Source organism: Homo sapiens, chromosome 7 (genome assembly GCF_000001405.40).
Source record: "Homo sapiens chromosome 7, GRCh38.p14 Primary Assembly".
In the NCBI taxonomy this organism is placed as follows: Eukaryota; Metazoa; Chordata; class Mammalia; order Primates; family Hominidae; genus Homo; species Homo sapiens.
Window position 1 is genome coordinate 73,170,018 of NC_000007.14, and position 22,139 is coordinate 73,192,156.

General features: G+C 45.4%; 2 pseudogenes across 1 annotated transcript in view, besides 3 other annotated features; one reads left to right on the forward strand and one right to left on the reverse strand.

The window, feature by feature from the left end:
* Positions 1–22,139, forward strand: part of GTF2IP4 (general transcription factor IIi pseudogene 4) — a 52,373-nt pseudogene that overhangs the window by 15,094 nt on the left and 15,140 nt on the right. The window contains exons 2-10 of the transcript NR_003580.2: positions 5,398–5,508; positions 6,840–6,905; positions 9,070–9,253; positions 10,522–10,580; positions 12,060–12,131; positions 13,098–13,281; positions 14,644–14,702; positions 20,049–20,120; positions 21,354–21,537. The product of NR_003580.2 is annotated as a general transcription factor IIi pseudogene 4 (transcript). The remainder of the gene's footprint in view (positions 1–5,397; positions 5,509–6,839; positions 6,906–9,069; positions 9,254–10,521; positions 10,581–12,059; positions 12,132–13,097; positions 13,282–14,643; positions 14,703–20,048; positions 20,121–21,353; positions 21,538–22,139) is intronic.
* Positions 10,536–22,139: part of a biological region, named in NCBI's record as "Williams-Beuren syndrome centromeric block B recombination region", that runs on past the window's edge. NCBI's record gives its function as "recombination_partner: LOC106029312".
* Positions 10,536–22,139: part of a non allelic homologous recombination region, noted in NCBI's record as "sub-region SSN1-SSN3, recombines with sub-region SSN1'-SSN3' within the WBS medial block B recombination region", that runs on past the window's edge. NCBI's record gives the evidence for it as "EXISTENCE:restriction fragment detection evidence [ECO:0001124][PMID:12796854]".
* On the reverse strand, positions 17,952–18,719 carry PHB1P5 (PHB1 pseudogene 5; annotated as a pseudogene).
* Positions 20,149–21,182: a meiotic recombination region, noted in NCBI's record as "meiotic double-strand break mapped by DNA meiotic recombinase 1 chromatin immunoprecipitation followed by single-stranded DNA enrichment and sequencing in the germ cells of some male individuals with the PRDM9 AA genotype". NCBI's record gives the evidence for it as "EXISTENCE:chromatin immunoprecipitation-seq evidence [ECO:0000229][PMID:25395542]".

Sequence of the window (22,139 nt, forward strand, 5' to 3'; positions counted from 1 at the left end):
GAGGCCTCCGCTGGGAGTTCCCATCATTCACCCTCATAGCAGCTCTACAGGAAGGAGCTGTCTGCCCCCAAGTCACACAGTGGACAACAGCAGTTTGGGGGTCAGCCTTGGCCCCCCCACTCCGAACTCCTCGCCGCCTATGCCCTCCACTCCTTTCCACTGTTAACCCAAGATGGAAAAGCTTATGCCAAGGGTCATTTCTCAGGATATGCACATAACAGGAAAATGTGTTTTTATCCAAATTCCCACAACCCACCAGCCATGTGATCTTGGGCAACTTAGAACCTCCAAGGAGGGTCTGGCTCTGTTATCTATGCTAGAGTGCAGTGGCATGAGCATAGCTCACTGCAGCCTCAACCTTCCAGGCATAAGCAATCCTCCTGCCTCAGCCTTCCAAGTAGCTGGGACTACAGGTGTGCACCGTCATGCCCAGCTAATTTTTAAAAAAGATTTTTAGTAGCAACAGGGTCTTACTATGTTGCCCAGGCCAGTCTCAAACTCTTGAGCTCAGACAATTCTCCTGCCTTGACCTTCCAAAGTGGTAGAATTATAGGCGTAAGCCACCACACCGTGGCCTGGTTTCATCTTTAAAATAGGGATAAGGTGAGGCATGGTGGCTCACACTTGTAATCCCATCACTTTGGCAGGTCGAAGCGGGAGGATTGCCTGAGCTCAGGAGTTTGAGATCAGCCTGGACAGCATAGTGAGACCCCATCTCTACCAAAAAATAACTGAAGATAACACTATCAACATCTTGGGTGGTTGTGAGAATTAAATGGGGAATTTTATGTTAGGGACTTAGTGAGGTGTTGATTACATAGTGAACCTATTATTCACAGAAATTCAATGGATGTTTTGAGGTGCCCTCTACTTGATGCAAGCCTCAGCGAGGTGGCAGTGGTGGCCTCTGTCCCCATGGCACGGATGGTCTGTTCTGCTTTGGAAGCACTGGAAGGGCACATCTGACAATTGCAGGATGGCTGGTTTTTATTGGAGGAAGGGAAGCTGTTTATTTGTTTCAGATTGGCTGAGCTGTGGGGATGCGGGAGGCTGGCAGGAGGGGAGGGGTCTATAGTAAGGAGACTGGAGAAACTCTGGGGACCAGGCAGGCAGCCCCCTGGTAAGAGCTGCTTCTTGGAACACAAAGAGCCGTTGCGTCCTCCAGCCGGCCTTGAGGAAGGTGTGACTTCTCTGCTCCCAGCAATGTCTTGGGCACCCTTCTCTGCCCTGCACACCAGCTCTGCCTGCAGGGTGCCTGGACACTCTGGGTGTCTACTGTGTCCCCATATGGTGCTTGCAAGTCTTCCTCCCAGACTGCCCCCTGCTTCTGTGTCCCCTCCCTGGTGCACAGCACCACATCCAGCCCCCCTCCCACCCAGCCCACCCAGGTCCTGCCCACGTGACCCCCAGTCTTTCTCCAGTCGCACCTCCTCTGCACGCTGACCGCCATGTCTTGTCCTCTTTTTCTTTTTTTTTGAGACAGAGTCTTGCTCTGTCATCCCGGCTGCTGGAGTGCAATGGCGCAATCTTGGCTCACTGCAACCTCCGCCTCCCGTGTTCAAGTGATTCTCCTGCCTCAGTCCTCCCTGGGACTACAGGGGTACACCACCATGCCTGGCTAATTTTTATATTTTCAGTAGAGTCAGGGTTTCACCATGTTGGCCAGGCTGGTCTCGAACTCCTAACCTCAGGTGATCCACCCGCCTCGGCCTCCCAAAGTGCTGGGATTACAGGCGTGAGCCACCGTGCCCAGGCTGTGTGCTTCTATTCTAGCTCCCCGACTCCTGATCCCCTGACTCTGAGGCCTCAGGACGAAGGTCTCATCCCCTCCAGGCAGGCCCTCCTTGGCAGGGCAGCTTCAATTTGTATAGGAATCAAATCCATCCTGTTGGGGTTTTACCATGTTCCCCAGGCTGGTCTTGAACTCCTGGGCTCAGACAATTCTCCTACCTTGGCCTCCTAAGGTGCTGGGATTACAAGTATGAGCTACCATGCCGGGCCTATTTTTTTTTTAATAATTTTTTTTTTAATGTGGGAGAGTTCAAATGTGAAATCAAGGCCCGGTGCGGTGGCTCACGCCTATAATCCCAGCACTTTGGGAGGTGGAGGCAAGAGGATCGCTTGAGGCCAGGAATTCAAGACCATTTGGGGCAACATAGCCAGACCCCGTCTCTACAAGAAATTTTAAAAATTAGCCAGACGTGGTAGTGCACACCTGTAGCCCCAGCTACTCTGGAGGCTGAGACAGGAGGATCACTGGAGCCCAGGAGTTGGAGGCTGCAGTGAGCTATGCTCACACCATTGCACTCCAGCCTGGTTGACAAAGTGAGACCCAGTCTCAAGAAAAAAAAAAAAAAGTGGGAAGAAGCATACCCCACCACACTTCTTCTTTGGGGTTAGAATTTTGGGCCTGCACTGGAATGTGGAACGCTGATAGGGGATGGGGACAGGTGGAGGTGTCAGGGGCGCCCTCAGACTCTACCCTCCTTCATTGCCTTAGAGGTGAGGCTGGGGAACGACCCTGGGGTAAGGGGTTGCCCGTGCCCACTCCCCTGCATGCAGGAGCTGGATCTCTGCTTCACTCTTCCCCTTTCCTGATGGGAACTTGCTCCTGCATTTGGCCCCTGGGCCTCTGGGTAACCTGCCCCAGCCACCGAGGGCTTGGCCCCAGGCGAGTGCATCTGTAAGGGCAGATCCCGCGGCGAATTTCCTGGGTGACTCCTTTGCACACACCCAGGCTGGACTCCCTCCACCCCCTCCCAACTGAGCAATGCTTTGGGGCTGTTTCGTCCACTAGAGCAGCACAGTCAAGAATGAGGGGGTGTATGGGCTGGGCGTGGTGGCTCACGCCTGTAATCCCAGCACTTTGGGAGGCTGAGGCAGGCGGATCACAAAGTCAGGAGTTCAAGACCAGCCTGGCTAATATGGTAAAACCCTGTCTCTACTAAAAATACAAAATTAGCCGGGTGTGGTGGTGCATGCCTGTAGTCCCAGCTACTCGGGAGGCTGAGGCAGGAGAATTGCTTGAACCCGGGAAGCGGAGGTTGCAGTGAGCAGAGATCACACCACTGCACTCCAGCCTGGGCAACAGAGTGAGACTCTGTCTCAAAAAAAAAAAGAATAAGGGGGTGACACCTCAGAGAACAAGCTGCAGGCCTGGTGTCACCTGCAGATGACAAGGCTACCGTATCCATTCCTCAAGCCAGGCCTCTGAGGAGCCCTGGTGGGTAGGGTGCTGGAGGGAGAACTCGAGCTTGCAGGCAGTAAAACGCATTTTTTTTTTTTTTTTTTTGGTGGCGGGGACAGAGTCTCACCCTGCCGCCCAGGCTGGAGTGCAGTGGCGCAATCTCAGCTCACTGCAAACTCTTGACTCCTGGGTTTGAGCGATTCTCCTGCCTCAGCCTCCCGAGTAGCTGGGATTACAGGTGTGCACCACCACACTCAGCTAATTTTGGCGTTTTTAGTAGAGACAGGGTTTCGCCATGTTGGCCAGGCTGGTCTCAAACTCCTGACCTTGGGTGATCAACCTGCCTCAGCCTCCCAAAGTGCTGGGATTACAGGCGTGAGCCACTATGCCTGGCCACATTTCTTTCTTTCTTCTTTTTTTTTTTTTAATCTGTGCTTTTCTCCACCCTCTTCAGACTTTGTTCTAGTCTACAATTTCCCTCCTGCAGCTTCTCTCTGATGACGTCCCCACCCAGCCCGTCAGTCCAAATTAGCCTGGTTTAACTGCGTTTGTCAGTTTCTGTAGAAGAATGAAGAAGGTGATAGCACCCACGTTATAGGGCTGTTCACGGGAGGTTGAAGTGAGATCTTACAGAGAAAGTGCTTAGCAGGTGCCCCAGGTCCAGAGTGTGGGGTTGGCTGGGAGTCGTGTGCATTTCCTGCCCTGACCCCCTCTGCAAGCTTGGTTCCTGAGTGCTTGAGTGAGGCACACTTGACCTGCTTATGTGATTCCCATGGCACCATGGTGTGGGGAATGTCTCCCAACAAGACACCTTATCAAGCGCTCTCTCTCCACTCTGCTGTTCCTACCACATATTCCCAGGCAGGTCACCCTACCTTTCTTGTTTTCTTTTGAAGACAGGGTCTCGCTCGGTCACCCAGGCCAGAGTTCAGTGGCAAAATCATAGCTCACTGCAGCTCCTGGACTCAAGGGATCCTCCTGCCTCAGCCTCCTGAATAGCTGGGGCCGCAGGTGTGTGCCACCACACCTGGCTAATTTTTACAATATTTTGTAGAGACAGGGTTTCACTTTGTTGCCCAGGCTGGCCTCAAACTCCTGGCCTCAAACGATCCTCCTGCCTCGGCCTCCAAAAGTGCTGTGATTTCAGACGTGAGCCACCTCACCTGGCCTGACCCGGCCTTTCTGAGCCTTCAGCCCTCATCTTTGTCTGGGGGCATTCTAAAAACCAAGGAATAGAATACCAGGGTCAGACTCAGACTTTGCGTTCAGTAGGCCATGAATACTTGGGTTTTCGCTCAGTTTCTGGGGCATTGAGACTGATAGAAGCAACTGACCCCCTTAGCTAAGGCAGGCAGGCAGGTATTGTCACCAAGAGACCCTGGAGATCAGGAGAGGTTATTTGGGGTTGGGGATCTCCAAGGAGGGGCAGGGAAGTTAGTACCATCGTCGGGCTGGAAATGGGAAGCGTTTGGCTCGTTGGAAGTGGTGAGGCTGGGGTGTGGGACCCTCGCCATGTGACCTACGTGGGGTGATCTCAGTAGAAATTGGGACCTGCCAACCATGGTTGCCTGGGAGAGTTGCCTGGGCACCTGCCTGTGATCCCAACTACTCAGGAGGCTGAGGTGGGAGGATTGCTTGAGCCTAGGAGGTAGAGGTTGCAGTGAGCCAAGATTGCATCACTGAACTCCAGCCTGGGCAACAGAACAATTCTCTGTCTCAAAAACAAAAACAAAAACAAAAACAAAAAAACAAAAAAAAACTATTTACCCAATTTCCCTTGCTTATGCATGCTTAAATTTTGTATAAGCTTAAATATCTTTTCCATCTAAGCTGTACTCTATCCCCTTTTATAACTTTAGGTGGCTGTCTTTATTAAAAGTTTTTTCTTGAAAGTCTTAAAACAATATAGTTCTTGGCAATTTGAAAGTTATTTGAGAAGGGGAAATTTATAATGACAATTCAAATGAAGCAAACTAAAAAATAATGAAGAAAGACAGAGGAAAAAGCAGTATTCACTTGAACACATCCCAAACAAAGAAAATTTCAAATGTAACAAGGAAAAAGCCTGCTAAAGCTCACAATACAGAAATAACTATTGATACTCAAAATAGCTTTAAAGCCCTGCTCACCTTTTGAATGTTGGGAATTGACCAGGAGGTGACTGTAACTGTAAGATGGTTCTTCCAGTAATGACCATTTTCTTTTTCAAGATGATGATTATTCTCCACCGTCTAAGAGACCAAAGGCCAATGAGCTACCGCAGCCACCAGTCCCGGAACCCGCCAATGCTGGGAAGCGGAAAGTGAGGGAGTTCAACTTCGGTAAGTTCTCAGCGAACGACGTGACCTTTTCCTTCATCTTCTGGATTCTCAGTGTGACTGATAAATGTTGCAACATGCTCTGCAGGGGGAAAATGCTTTAGCGTCTATTACTGCATCATAATCTCATCTTTGGAAAGCCAGGAGCATTTTGAAAATTACATTACAGACATTGTTTAAACATAGTTTGGATTTACCAAAGCATAGGACATTGTCTTGTCTGATGTTAATTAGTCAGCTCAAGATTAGTGCTAAAGACTTAGTAATTTAGTTATTTCTCTTAGCTTTAAAATCTTTATTTCAGAACTATTTCACCTCTTGGTTTTCTTTTTTTTTTTTTTGCTCTGTGTTACTGCAGCTGCTAATCTGTGAGCTCTCAATGGATGATGTATCCTAGCAAGGGACTGAATGAGATATTAGCGGCAAATTATGTTGATGATTCATATTTTGAATAAATGGAATATTAAGCTTGTATACATCTTGAAAATAGTACTTTAATATTCTACTGTGTCATAGTCACAATGATTGGATATGAATTGAATTTTTGTACTTTTTAAATATGTTTTTGTTCTTTATTTTTAATTTTTATTATTATTTTTTTGAGACAGAGTCTTGCTCTGTCACCCAGGTTGGAGTGCAGAGGCACGATCTCAGCTCACAGCAACCTCCGCCTCCCGGGTTCAAGTGATTCTTCTGCCTCAGCCTCCTGAGTAGCTGGGATTACAGGCGCCCACCACCATGCCCAGCTAATTGTTGTATTTTTAGTAGAGATGGGATTTCACCATGTTGGCCAGGCTGGAATCGAACTCCTGACCTCAGGTGATCCGCATGCCTCAGCCTCCCAAAGTGCTGGGATTACAGGCATGAGCCACTGCACTTGGCCTGTTCTTTAGCATTTTAAGTTGCAACTATATATCCGTAAAGTCTTATTTCCACACAACTAACACATGTTTTAGGAAGTTTGCTAAAAGACCCCTGGAGACCTTTATCGTGGTCTCCCTTTTGTCGTGTTTCATTTGCTTGATCTTTTCTGCCCTCCTGCTTTTCAGAAATTAAAAGGCTAAAAAGAGGTGCTAAATGTTAAAACTTCTCGTGTAGTCTCCCATGAGACTATTAAAAGTAATGGCAAAAGCCACAGTTACTTTTGCACCAACCTACTAATTCTAAGAACCACCAAAAAGGGGAAAGTTCTTGGAAAGCAGTAAAATGATATGGACAGTTGGGATGTAAAAATGTAGAAAATATGTCATTGTATGTTCAGTCATCCCAAGACCCTAGTGCTGCCCCGATGGTAGGGACTTCTTAATGAGAATTAACTTTTGCTCAATTTTCAGAGAAATGGAATGCTCGCATCACTGATCTACGTAAACAAGTTGAAGAATTGTTTGAAAGGAAATATGGTATGTCTAAATAGGAAAATTCCTGTAATACTTTGTTCATGAGCATTTACACAATGGCGTTACTGTTCATCATGGGGGTGATGTGGACAAGCCCAGCCCAGGGCTGCCAGTGAACCGTGCCACACTTTCTTACACGTCTCTCATTGTAAGGTCCTTAGTAGTGTCTGTCTAAATATTAGAAACAGTCTTTGTTTCTAGATTACAGTAAAGCTAAGGAAAAGTTGTATTTCTGTAGTTATCAGCTAACATTTCTTTTAAACTTCCAGCATGGATATTTGGGAATTTATTTACATATTTATTACAAAGCTCTGGATCTTGGGGGTTTCATTAAAAATTATTTTTTTAACTGATAGTTTCTGTTAATCTACTTTGTTAAATCCAGTATTTGCTGAGATCCCCCTATTGTCTCTACTTTTATCTTTTTTTTTTTTTTGAGACGGAGTCTCTGCATTGCAGTAGTACGATCTCGGCTCATTGCAACCTCCGCCTCCCGGGTTCAAGCAATTCTCCTGGCTCAGTCTCCCAAGCAGCTGGGACTACAGGTGCCCGCCACCATGCCCTGCTAATTTTTGTATTTTTAGTAGAGACAGGGTTTCACCATGTTGGCCAGGCTTGTCTCAAACTCCTGACCTCAAGTGATCCTCCCGCCTTGGCCTCCCAAAGTGCTGGCATTACAGGCGTGAGCCACCCTTCCCGGCCACTGCTTTTATCTTGATGTATAACTGAGTTGATGCTAGATTTCAATTCCTTCTTTGTCCTTTTACTATTCTGTCCTATAGCCACCTTTATATAATGATCAAAGAAATTCACAATTTGTTATCATTTTTATTTTTTATAAAATATTTAAAATGATTTAAAATAAAAATCATTTTATTTTTATCATATTTATTATCATCTGTTATCATTTTTATTTGGATGACTATTTACTTTGCCATTAACTAGCAAGCGGTAAAATTGTATGATATGCAGTTTTAACTGAATTGCTATAAGTGAAAATTTAAATGCAATAAACCATATTGATGGTATTTGTGTTAACAAACTTAAAATGAGCATTTTTTCTTCATCATGAGTAATATAACCTACCCCTCAATGAAAATCTACAATTAGAGTAAATTTGCTAATGAATTCAGTAACTTTTCCATATTTTTAGTGGTTTACTTAAGGTTCTCTTAGTGTTTCTCCCAGTTTTTAATAGCTTACACCTTTTTTGCCCGTGGTTTTTTGTTTTTTGTTTTTTTTTTTTTTTTTTTTTTTGAGATAGAGTTTTGCTCTTGTTGCCTAGTCTGGAGTGGCACGATCTCGGCTCACTGCAACCTCTGCCTCCCAGGTTCAAGCAATTCTCCTGTCTGAGCCTCCTGAGTAGTTAAGATTACAGGTGCCCGCCACCATGCCCAGCTAATTTTTGTATTTTTAGTAGAGACAAGGTTTCACCATGTTGGCCAGGCTGGTCTTGAACTCCTAACCTCAGGTGATCCACCCACCTCGGCCTCCCAGAGTGCTGGGATTACAGGCGTGAGCCGCTGCGCCCGGCCTCATGTTTTCTATTGGTTCATTATGAAGCAAAAACTTCATAGCATGTGCTACCTGGAAGCACTGTGACCTAGTGGTAAGATCATAGGCTCTGGGGACACAGTGCCTTGCCACGTCTCTTCTCCTGTCTGAGTCTTAGTATCCTCTTTTGTGGTCATGAGAACTGAAGATCTATCCTGGAGATTGATAAGATAGTAAAGTGCTTCACGTAATACCTGGCATACATGTAATAAATGCTTCCTGTGTGTATATATATACACACATATACATATATATGTATATGTACATATACACATATACATATATATATATATACATAAACACATATACATATATATATAACACAGTGAAACCCCCGTCTCTACTAAAAATACAAAGAATTAGCTGGGCGTGGTGGCGGGCACCTGTAGTCCCAGCTACTCGGGAGGCTGAGGCAGGAGAATGGCGTGAGCCCGGGAGGCAGAGCTTGCAGTGAACCGAGATCACGCCACTGCACTGCAGCCTGGGAGACACAGCAAGACTCCATCTCAAAAAAATAAAAAAAAAGTTAAAGAGCACTACAGATTCAATGATTTATTATTCTTTTCTACAAATTGTGTTTAAATGATATCTCTTTCTCTTTTTGTCCTTATAGCTCAAGCCATAAAAGCCAAAGGTCCGGTGACGATCCCGTACCCTCTTTTCTAGTCTCATGTTGAAGATCTTTATGTAGAAGGACTTCCTGAAGGAATTCCTTTTAGAAGGCCATCTACTTACGGAATTCCTCGCCTGGAGAGGATATTACTTGCAAAGGAAAGGATTCGTTTTGTGATTAAGAAGTAAGACTCTTGGATTCCTGTTGAACTCTTGTCTCTTTTCTGAGTAATACGTCTTTTTTATTGTTGACCAATATTCATTCACCACTAGGGTTCTATGTGATGAAGTTTGAGTTATTTTATGTATTTTTATCTTGCACTTTTTAATTTATCTGGGTCCAGCATTGCATCAGTCATGCAGTGTTGGCATTCGAAGCATGAACAGTGCCCGCACTGGATTGGCATGCAACTCACATTTTCTTTCACAATTTTCTGCTACTTTTGCTAAAGAACATAGAATCCACGCCTTGTTTTTAGGCCTGATATATATATATATATATATTTTCGAGATGGAGTCTCACACTGGAACCCAGGCTTGAGTGCAGTGTCGCAATCTCAGCTCACTGCAACCTCTGCCTTCCAGGTTCAAGCGATTCTCATGCCTCAGACTCCCGAGTAGCTGAGATTACAGGCGTGCGCCACCATGCCTGGCTAATTTTTGTATTTTTAGTAGAGACGGTGATTCACCATGTTGGCCAGGCTGGTCTTGAACTCCTGACCTCAGATGATCTGCCAACCTCGCCCTCATAGGCCTGAGATTTTTAAAGCATGCGTGGGAATATATGATTGTTTTTATAGATGTGCAGAGGAAGATAGTCTTGAATGCAATATGACATTAAAGGATCCCATTTAAGATTTTTGTAATATGCTTCAAAGACCTGTGGGTTGCAAAGTTACCTCTTTACTTGTGAGGATACATGCTCCATGAAGCACCTTATGAGACAACTTGCAATTATTAGTTTGCTTTTTACTCTGTAGAAACCTCAAATTAAGATTTAGTTGTGGGCTGGGTGTAGTGGCTCACACCTGTAATCCCAGCACTTTGGGAGGCCAAGGCGGCTGGATCACCCGAGGTCAGGAGTTCGAGACAAGCCAGGCCAACAATGGTGAAACACTGTCTCTACTAAAAATACAAAAATTGACCAGGTGTGGTGGTGGGCGCCTGGAATCCCAGCTACTTGGGAGGCTGAGGCAGGAGGATTGCTTGAACCCGGGAGGTGGAGGTTGCAGTGAGTCGAGACTGCGCCATTGCACTCCAGCCTGGGAACAAGAGCAAAACTCCGTCTCAGGAAAAAAAAAAAAAAAAAAAAAGATTTAGTTGTGCTCAAGCATCCAGATTATCTTTTCTTTTCAAAACCAGCCTTACTGACTAAATGTTAAATATGTACTAGTCGTTATTAGTTTGCTGAATATTACCTAGTGATTATTGAGTATTTATTCTCACCTTTCAGACATGAGCTTCTGAGTTCAACACGTGAAGATTTACAGCTTGATAAGCCAGCTTCAGGAGGTAGGTCTTCAATCTCGAGGCAGATCAGAAGATTATGTGCAATAATTATTTCACGCTTAACATTGATTTCTTCTTTATGTTACCTTCCACATGAAATAATATGTCTCTAACTATTAATTATGTGCCATTACAGGAGAATTCATGTTGTCAAAATTCTAATAATTTCTAGAAGAATAAACGCATCTTCTTTTTATTAACCCATTGTAAATACTTATAAATATTGCATTTATGGGTAGACAGAAGTAAAAGAACAATATTTGTTCTACTTTTGATGCAAGATTTATCTGGCATAATGCATTGAACAGTTTATTATTGAAGTCTACACGAGTCAATGGAACAAGCATTCATTGAATGTCCATGATATGCAGGACATAAGAAGGTTTCCTTTTAGAGCATGGAGCCATTTATATCATCTCTTAATTGTTAGATGTATTTTGTTTTGTTTTGTTTTGTTTTTTGAGAGGGAGTCTTGCTCTGTTGCCCAGGCTGGAGTGCAGTGGTGCGATCTCCGCTCACTGCAACCTCCCGCCTCCTGGGTTCAAGCAATTCTCCTGCCTCAGCCTCCCTGTAGCTGGGATTACAGGTGCCTGCCACCATGCCCAGCTAATTTTTGTATTTTTCGTAGAGACAGGGTTTCACTATGTTGGCCAGGCTGATCTCAAACTGCTGACCTCAGGTGATCTGCCCACCTCGGCCTCCCAGAGTGCTAGGATTACAGGCATGAGCCACCGCGCCCAGCCTGTTAGATGTGTTTTAAAATAAATAGAAATATAATTGATTTTCTTGCTTGCTTTTGCTCTGGAGTGGAGTGGAGTGAGGATAAAACAGAATGGAATCACCCTGTTGATATTTACTAAGATAGAAGGACTGCAGCAAGATCATAGCCCTAATCTTCCTGTAGCAAGTGTTACCTGCTAGCTGTTCCTGAATACACTGAGTTTTGCTTTTTCCTAGCTCTAATGAATGTTTCGTTCTTCCTCTTTTTGTACAGTGTCAGCATTGTTTTAGAAATAAATACATTCTAGAATCTTAGGAATAATTTTATTATTGTCTTTTTTTTTTTTTGAGACGGAATCTCATTCTGTTGCCCAGGCTGGAGTGCAATGGCGCAATCTCAGCTCACTGCAACCGCTGCCTCCTGGGTTCAAGCGATTCTCCTGCCTCAGCCTCATGAGTAGCTGGGACTACAGGCGTGCGCCATCACGCCTGGCTAATTTTTGTATTTTTAGTAGAGATGGGGTTTCACCATGTTGGCCAGGCTGGTCTCAAACTCCTGACCTCAAGTGACCCGCCTGCCTCGGCTTCCCAAAGTGTTGGGATTACAGGTGTGAGCCATTGCACCTGGCCACGAATCTTAGAAATAATTTTGGCCATAGGAAAAGGAAAAGTTATACCTCTTATTTTATAGTAATAATGTTTAATAATCAAGTTATTAAACCCATTAAATTGAGAACACTTGTATTACTGTTATTTTGACAGTAAAGGAAGAATGGTATGCCAGAATCACTAAATTAAGAAAGATGGTGGATCAGCTTTTCTGCAAAAAATTTGGTAAGTCTGTTTTTTTTAATTACCCCTTCAACTAAAATGTATTACTGAGTAACATTTTTTTAAATGTTGTTTTATTTTAGGAAAGTAAATACAGTGAATAGGACTCAGCTTTAGTTTTCCCTGTTTTTTTTTTGGGTTTTTTTTTTTTTTCTTGAGAAGGAGTCTTGCTCTGTTGCCCAGGCTGGAGTGCAGTGGTACGATCTCAGCTCACTGCAACCTCCTCCTCCCGGGTTCAAGCAATTCTCCTGCCTCAGCGTCCCAAGTAGCTGGGATTACAGGTGCCCGCCACCACGCCTGGCTAACTTTTGTATTTTTAGTAGAGATGGGGTTTCGCCATGTTGGCCAGGCTGGTCTCAAACTCCTGAATTCAGGTGATCCACCCGCCTCAGCCTCCTAAAGTGCTGGGATTATAGGCGTGAGCCACCGCGCCCGGCCCCCATTCTATGAATTATCTGTGGAAAGTTATTTCCTTTAAAATGGCATGCTCGTGAGGTTGAAGGGGTAAAGAACATTGATCTGGTTGCCACGCAGATGAAAGTGTAGTCGGAAATGTGTTACCAGTTTGCCATAGCCGATGGAGGAGGGTAATTACGGTCCTGAACAGTTAGTAGCAAAAGGCTGCTTCCAGATAGTATTTAGGTTGTGTCCTCTATTGTCCATGATGATTTTCTTTCTCTCTTTTCTTCCTAAGGATATTGAAAAACAAACTTTAATCTTTTAAAGATCTCAGAGCTATTAAGATTGTCTTAGGACCAGGACACTTAAATCTGCCCAAATCTGGCTGTTGATGATCGGTCATCTCTACTTGTCTTTGCTGTATTAAGTCTATTCAATAGTTAATAAATATGTTTCTAGAAAGAGTTTTTTTCAAGTAAAACAAAATTGACCTGTGCCTTTCTTTGGATTGTACTAAAATCTGATTTCAATACAAATGTAGTCTCCCGAATTGCTTTGATTTTTGTCCAGCGGAAGCCTTGGGGAGCACTGAAGCCAAGGCTGTACCGTACCAAAAATTTGAGGCACACCCGAATGATCTGTACGTGGAAGGACTGCCAGAAAACATTCCTTTCCGAAGTCCCTCATGGTATGGAATCCCAAGGCTGGAAAAAATCATTCAAGTGGGCAATCGAATTAAATTTGTTATTAAAAGGTAAGATGATAATCTGTAGAAATAGTTTCAGTGTCTTCCCTGAGAAGAGGTTAATTTGATGAAGAAGGGCCTTTTGTTTACCTTATGACTTATTTCTATTGACAATGAAGGCATTAATATTTAGATTCACTTAGTGAACAAATATTAGTATAAGCATCAGATGTGCAAAATTGGGTCTAACAAGAACACTGTCCTTGGGGCCTTCATACAAAGAAAAATGCACTGAAGGCCGGGCGCGGCAGCTCACGCCTGTAATCGCAGCACTTTGGGAGGCCAAGGCAGGTGGATCACTTGAGGTCAGGAGTTCAAGACTAGCCTGGCCAACATGATGAAGCCCCATCTCTAGTAAAAATACAAAAATTAGCTGGAAGCGGTGGTGCGAGCCTGTAGTCCCAGCTACTCGGGAGGCTGAGGTTGGAGAATCACTTGAACCCTAGAGGCGGAGGTTGCAGTGAGCCGAGATCGTGCCACTGCACTCCAGCCTGGGCAACAGAGCGAGACTCCATCTCAAAATAATTAAAAAAAAAAAAAATAGAAAAATGCAACGAAGTGTTATTGAGCGTTTTTAAGGGAGAAGGCAAGGATGGCACACCTAGCTCGGTCACTTGTGCATCCAGAAGAGATGGAAGGTGTTTCAAGTGAAGGAAATCATATGAGTAGGGGGAGGAGGTGGCAAATATGCCTGCGTATCCACAGAACTCACCCACCGTGTGTGGAGTGAGGACTGCCACGTGGGCGTGGTGGGGTTGCATGGATCGACTTGGGTGGGCAAGTGGAGGAAGGCCTGAGATCCTACGAACACAGAGGCAGTCACGAAGTGGTCTCGAGGCAGATGCCTCTGAAAATAATGTGGATCCGCCCTTTAGAAAGGTAATTCTGGCTTGATTTTGAAGGATAACACAATGGTTAGTTTGGGTGCGGGGTTAGGAACAGAAGGCCTCTCTCCACTCATTGACGGGATGTGGAAGGGTAAACCTTCCTTACTGATTGGGGTCATGCCTCTGTGTGTTTGTTGGGACTGAGTTATAAGGGATAGGAAACGTTTAAGATGCTACAGCGAGCTGCTTCTGGCTGTGCTGTGGGACAGTTCATCTAAGATTCAGAAACAGAATTGAGCTGGTTTGGGGGAAAAGTGACTTTCGCCTGTTTATCTTAAATATAGGATGATTTTGAAGGTCTCACCCGAATATCTGAAAATTGCCATTTTCAAAATAAACTCGTCACCAAAATGATTTTTTTTTCACTATAAAATGAAGGCAGGATGAACCATATTTATAACTAATTGGCAATGAACAGCTGGTGAGAAAGGCCTGTGAGTTGCTTCTAAATGCTTTATTACTAATATCAACTCTGTTTCTACAGACCAGAACTTCTGACTCACAGTACCACTGAAGTTACTCAGCCAAGAACGAATACACCAGGTAAACTAGTTGTGAAATCCTTTTTTAAAAACACAGATCAGCCAGGCTCGGTGGCTCACACCTGTAATCCCAGCACTTTAGGAGGCTGAGGCGGGCAGATCACAAGGTCAGGAGATCAAGACCATCCTGGCTAACATGGTGAAACCCCATGTCTACTAAAATACAAAAAAATTAGCCGGGCCTGGTGGCGGGCACCTGTAGTCCCAGCTACTCGGGAGGCTGAGGCAGGAGAATGGCATGAACCCAGGAGGCGGAGCTTGCAGTGAGCCGAGATCACGCCATTGTACTCCAGCCTGGGCAGCAGAGCAAGACTCTCTCAGAAAAAAAAAAAAAAAAAAGCACAGATCAATACTTTGTAAGCTTTTAAAAGTTAATCTTTTAAAATTATGGAAGTCCCCCTTCCCCTGCCTCCCCAAAAAATCATTTGCAGAAGCTCAATCCAGCCACTCCTTGATTTATCAATGTGAACACCTGCAGTGCACAGATAACTCAAGCTTTGACCGTAGACCACTGCTATCCATGAGAAAGGCAGTGTGCCCCACAAATGCAAGCCACATGTGTAATCGTCCACGTTCTAGTTCAGCCTGTAATCATTATAAAGAAATACACAGGGAAGTATTTCACGGTCTTTATCCCATGTTCTTTATTTGACAGTTGGCGCGTCTTTCATACTCACAGCATATTTCAGTTCCAAGTAGCCACATTTCAAACATTTCAACTGCTCGGGGATAGTACCTGCTATATGCATTTAGACCTTAATGTTTATTCATATGTATCGTGTTCCTAAAATGGCAAAGACTGTAACTCTGACCTGCACACAAATATCACAGCCTAATAGGGAAGATCTAAGAAGTCTCTGTTCAATGAATGATGTTATTTTCTTTATTAGAGCTCTAAGTGTGCCTTTATTTCTTTCCTATCTTTTTTTTTTTTTTTTTTTTTTGAGACGGAGCCTCACTCTGTCATCCAGGCTGGAGTGCAGTGGTGCAATCTCGGCTCACTGGGGCCTCCGCCTCCCGGGTTCAAGCAGCTCTCCCGCCTCAGCCTCCCGAGTAGATGGGACTACAGCTGCACGCCACCACACCTGGGCTAATTTTTGTATTTTTAGTAGAGATGGGGTTTCACCATGTCAGTCTGGCTGGTCTTGAACTCCTGACCTCAGGTGATCCACCTGCCCTGGCCTCCCAAAGTGTTGGGATTATAGGCATGAGCCACTGCACCTGACCTCTTTCTTTTTGTTTGCCGTTGTGTAATGTCAGAGGAAGTGACCACACTCTGTAGATCATCAGCCACCTTAGGAACTTCTGTTGCCAAGAACCAATAAATGCCCATACCCTGTAGTGTGTAAATGCCCATACCCTGTAGTGTGAAGTTTTCTGTTGTTAGAAATAAGTGTTAGGAATCAAGTATGAAATTTGTGTGTGTACTAGGTGTATACAGATTGGTGCAGTTAATCATGCTCACGACTACTAAGGTGAACAAATGTTTCAAGTTGGGTTCCTGGGTGTGCCCTAAAATACTTCTCCTTCAGCTCTCACAGCACCTTGTGGACATGAGTGAAGGTCAGTCAGTGTGCCAAATAGATTTTGTGTGGATTATGGCATGGAAAGTGGCTGAGAAATTCTGTAGCAGGGTAACAAAATTATCTTGGTCCAGGAGTCCTGTAGTGGAGAAGATAAAAGTCAATGCTTAACTCATAGGTTAACCTCAGCATGCTTTTGATTTGGTCAAGCAATCAAAGTACTGGTGAAGAATTGAAGATTGGAAGTGACACATTTTTTGCTCAGGGAAGTAATGGAGAAAGAAAAATCTTCCTGGAGGTAGATCTTCAGTTTGGATTAGTCTGAACATGATGAAACCTGTAGAAACCTTCATTTCTCAAGACAAAGCTCAAATTCAAGGTTGTGAGGAATGCAGTCACCACTTTTGTTAGGGGCAGTTGTGACAGTGAGTGACTGCAAAAACTGAGAATGCGAAGCCTCTATTGTAAAAAGAATGTGCAAGTGCCATAGAAGTCACTGCAAGGATTGGGTGCTGGAGCAGTGCCGGACCTGCCATCGTCACCAGAGTGCAGCAGATTCACCAGAAGGAGAATCTCCACTCTTGTCGTCACTAACAGCACTTGACTTTGTCCCATTCATAAAAGATCTTGGAAGGAATTAAAGGTGCTTGGTGGTTCCTCATTCCAACAACACCTTACTTGGCCTGCCCGTGGAACATGCGTTAGTCTTTGGACAGGACAACTCGAGTCACAGACCACAAGAGAAAAGAATTTTGTGGCCATCAGAATTGTCTGCTTAAACACACCACGGGTGCACAGTGTCCTCAGCTTGGTGAAAGGGAGATGTCACACGCGAGAAGGCAGCGGAGCCAGGCATGTGATGGAGTGGGAGGTGGCACCTGGCTCTGTGAGGAGGCTGTGAAGTCCTGCATGGGAGGAGCAAGGTGGGGGAGGAGGGGGTGGGGGTGGGGCAGAAGAGGAGGCTGAGCAGTTAATAGAGGCGCTCGACCTTAGAGGAGGAGAGTCCGAGGTCTTTATTGGTAGTATTCAAATGTGGTTCATCCAGAGTTATTTTCTGTGGCTGAATGGCCTACTCTGAAATCCACAGGGAAAAAACAACTCACATTCAACCCTTGAGATGCTAAGTTTTCTTTTAAAGTAAAGGAAATGTTATAAGATTTTCTGAAACCACCAACCTTTAGCGATATTGTCAGACCTTCTCCAACATTTTCCACTGCATTTGTCAGCAATCAGAGATGACCTCCACACCGAGGCGAACCCTCCACCCCCCGACCCGTTTCCTCTTTCTCTCTTTCCCTCCTTTGCTCATCCAGAAACACTTCAGTCATCCTGCATTGTCTCCAAGTTGACCTCCCTCCTCATCCGCACCTTGTCCACACCTGAATACTCTGTCCACATCAGTGATATTCTACATGTCTTTATAATAGCTTTTTTGTTTGTTTGTTTGTTTGTTTTTTAAATTTTGATGCTTAAAAGGCAATGGTTGTCTTAGGGATAGGAAAACACACCCCACTGTCACTGTGAGTGAAGCTGAATAACGTCTCTAGGTCTTTTACCATTGCTTTCTTTTTTTTCTGAAGTGATTTTTCCTTTTATGTCCATTGCTTTAAGCCATTCGTGAAATTGCACAGTGATTTCTGGAGTGGGGACAGAAGGAAGGCGGTAGTAAAAGTCATTGGTGCTGTGGCCCAGTTGGCTGGAGGAGGTGCAGGGCAGGGCGGCCTGCGCTGGGGCAGCTGGAGGAGCACAGATGTCCCCACGGGCAGGTGGATGAGTTCTGAGAGCTGGAGGGCCGGTACAGTGTCCTCCATGGTTCCAGCTTGTGGGCTTGATCAGGCCGTCACCTGCGGTGGCCACTGAGCTGGCGATGAACTCCGTGGCCTTGGAGTCGCCCTCGGCAGAGATGATGGCCGCCGTCTTCTGCTGCTCAGCCCTTGCCACCACAGATCTGGCCCTCTCTTCTTCCTGCTGAGCCACCTCTTTGGTTCCACTGCTTCTGCAAATTCCTTCCCGAAGGTCAGATCCAAGGTCACAGCATCCAGGAGGAACCCAAAGGTTGCTGCTTGCTCCGAAGTTAATTGCTCACCTGTCTGGAGCCCAGCTCTCCCTGCGTGATCAGTTCTCCAGCGTCAGCCTGAGCCGCCCCCAGCTTGAGGAGCTCCGCAGTGATGGATGGCAGCACATTCTTCATTGGCTTCTCCAGTAATTGGAAGATGCAAGGACCTGGCCAGCAACAAGGCGGGAAGAGGACGCCCAGTGTGATGGTGACAATCTTTGCTCACAGTGATGATTGGTGCATAATGTGGTCAAGAGCAGCAGTCAAAAATAATTGGTTTCTTTTCCCATGGGATGAGAAAGTGCGTTCCTTCCCCTATCACAGTGTCCTGAATGCCATGGAATTGGTCGAAGATGACAGACAGCTCTCTGTGCAGCATCACATTGTAGAAGGCAGAGTTCCCCACACCTCCTGCAGAAGCTAAGGACAGGGCAGACTTGGCAGCTGTGTTTCCATCTGCTGGACCCACTCACGCCTGCGTCCACTCCAACCCCCCACATGAATTCCGTCCCTTTATCATTGATTTCTGATGCGAAAAGTCACTTTGATTAGTGAAGTGTTGCTTTATGTAGATTTTTAGGCACACATCTGTTAGATAAAACGAGGATTGCCTGTAGAGAAAGCAAATAAAAGCAAAGTCCCTCTTGTTGAAACTGGTGTGGGAGCCCTTGAACCTCATGCAGCTGGCCTCCCTGCTCTGACCGAGTTCCCTGAGGGACTTCTCCAAGGAGGAATGTGTGAGAAGCACTGATTTTGAGCACTCTTTCATGTGGACAAATTTCACTTTATTTACAATGTAAACTTAAATTTAAATTCTGTCTTTCTAGGCTGGGCACGGTGGCTCACGCCTGTAATCCCAACACTTTGGGAGGCCGAGGCGGGCAGATCACTTGAGGTCAGGCATTCAAGACCAGCTTGGCCAACATGGTGAAACCCTGTCTCTACTAAAAATATAAAAATTAGCCGGGCGTGGTGGCGGCTACCTGTAATCCCAGCTACTCGGGAGGCTGAGGCAGGAGAATCGCTTGAACCCAGGAGGCGGAGGTTGCTGTGAACTGAGATCACGCCACTGCACTCCAGCCTGGGCGTCATAGCAAGACTCTTTCTCTAAATAAATAAATTAATTCTGTCTTTCTGCAGTTTTTCTGATATTTGGCAAGTACTGGAAATTATTATTTTCCTTAAGACCCCAAATTTTCACACCAACATGGCACATGTATACATATGTAACAAACCTGCACGTTGTGCACATGTACCCTAGAACTTAAAGTATGATAAAAAATAAATAAATTAATTAATTTAAAAAAAAGACCCCAAATGTTTGCTTTTAACAAAACTGAATTAAGAGAATCACTGCAGGCCGGGCATGGTGGCTCACGCCTGTAATCCCAGCACTTTGGGAGGCCGAGGCGGGCAGATCACGAGGTCAGGAGATCAAGACCTTCCTGGCTAACACCGTGAAACCCCATCTCTACTAAAAATACAAAAAGAAATTAGCTGGGCATGGTGGCGGGTGCCTGTAGTCCCAGCTACTCAGGAGGCTGAGGCAGGAGAATGGCGTGAACCTGGGAGGCGAAGCTTGCAGTGAGCCGAGATCGCGCCACTGCGCTCCAGCCTGGGCGACAGAGCAAGACTCTGTCTCAAAAAAATAAAACAAAACAAACAAAAAAGAATCACTGCAAACAAGAGTACTTTCTAGCAAAATCCATTCTGATTTGCAACAGCACTGATAAATAACATGGTTATTGGGTTTCTTTTTGTTTTCCAGTCAAAGAAGATTGGAATGTCAGAATTACCAAGCTACGGAAGCAAGTGGAAGAGATTTTTAATTTGAAATTTGGTAAGTAAAAGCCAGTATTTATGTCTTTAATAACATATCAACAAAGGGCCATGTCTGAATGAAGTATAGAAGTTCGGGACCAGCCGGGTGCAGTGGCTCACGCCTGTAATCGCAGCACTTTGGGAGGCCAAGGCGGGCGGATCGGGAGGTCAGGAGATCGAGACCATCCTGGCGAACACGATGAAACCCCGTCTCTACTAAAAATACAGGAAAATTAGCCGGGCGTGGTGGCGGGCGCCTGTAGTCCCAGCTACTCGGGAGGCTGAGGCAGGGGAATGGCTTGAACCCCAGAGGCGGAGCTTGCAGTGAGCCAAAATCGCACCACTGCACTCCAGCCTGGGCGACAGAGTGAGACTCTGTCTCAAAAAAAAAAAAAAAGAAGGAAAAAAAGTTCAGGACCTAAAGAAGGAAGGTCCCAGAAACTGGGTTTCTGTTTCTTTCTACCACTACACTTGCTACTGAAACCAAGCAGATGACTTCATTTCTCTTGGATTCCACTTTCTCACGTGTCAGAATGGGAGAGGAAGGGAGGTGTTGGGATAAGTTTCAGTTCCACTGTTTGTACTTCTCGTCTGGCTAACACCCATGTGGCAAATAGGTTTCATCATTTGTTTCAGCTTAGATTTGTTGACAGCGGTTTCCTGGAGTGCTGTCTTGAGAACGATTCTGAGGAGGCTCAGCAAGAAAGAGTGTTTCAGTTGATTGGGTGTGTCTGTCATGGAGAAGGAAGTAAGGAGTGGGCAGTGCTAGCAAAATTCCCGGGGCACTTCTGTCCATTATCTCAATACCTGGGGTTGACATTTCCTGTCTCAGATCAGGAGTCCTGACTACCCTGCCTCTGACCACTCGAACTGAGTGCTGCTTAGCTGTATCGTAGACACCGCCTGTTTGTGAACAGACACCCTGCTTCTTGATAACACAAAGGCCAGCAGGGTCCACTGCTGTGTGGAATGGCCTTCGGTCATTTCTGCCCAGAGCATAGAGGTCATTTTCACTAATAACATAACTCTCCTTTTGATTGAAAGTGTTAAAATGTTCCTCCTAAAAGCACTTATTTTTTAGGCTCGTTCTTCAGATTTGCCCCATATCCTAAGCAAAATGCCTTCAATATGAAGTGGATATTGCTTGACCGTAGGGAGCTTGTCCATACTGTACTCGAGAATGTAGACACAAAGAAAGAATGTCTGTGTCAAATGTTATCCTCCGCAACTTAACGTTCTCTTGCACTTTCAGCTCAAGCTCTTGGACTCACCGAGGCAGTAAAAGTACCATATCCTGTGTTTGAATCAAACCCGGAGTTCTTGTATGTGGAAGGCTTGCCAGAGGGGATTCCCTTCCGAAGCCCTACCTGGTTTGGAATTCCACGACTTGAAAGGATCGTCCACGGGAGTAATAAAATCAAGTTCGTTGTTAAAAAGTAAGTTCTTTTTGCCACTGTAGTCGTTTCTGGAATCAAAACAATAAAATGACATTTCTGTTAAGATGTTTTTCAAGCTAGAGGTGACAGGCGTGGCTGTAAGTCCTTGATGGCAAAGCCTGGCTGTGAGCTGCAGTCCGGGTACTGTCCATTGCCCCTGCCCATACTCAATCATCTTCATCCGTGCAAGGAAAATAGTGACAATCGCCTCCGCGGAGTCACCGTGAGGCCCCGTGGTGACTCGCAGTATGCCTGAGTACTTGAATGGAAGTTTAATTTGCTGGTTTTTATCTGCTCTGTTATTCCTGGTCAATCTTGAGAGCGACTAAATATTGATGATTGAGTTTCTTTCTTTTTTTTGAGACGGACTCTTGCTCTGTCGCCCAGGCTTGAGTGCGGTGGCGCAATCTGAGCTCACTGCAACCTCCGCCTCCTGGGTTCGAGCAATTCTCGTGCCTCAGCCTCCCGAGTAGCTGGGATTACAGACTTGCACCGCCACGCCTGGCTAATTTTTGTATTTTTAGAATAGATGGAGCTTCACCGTGTTGGCTAGGCTGGTCTGGAATTCCTGACCTCAGGTGATCCACCCGCCTCAGCCTCCC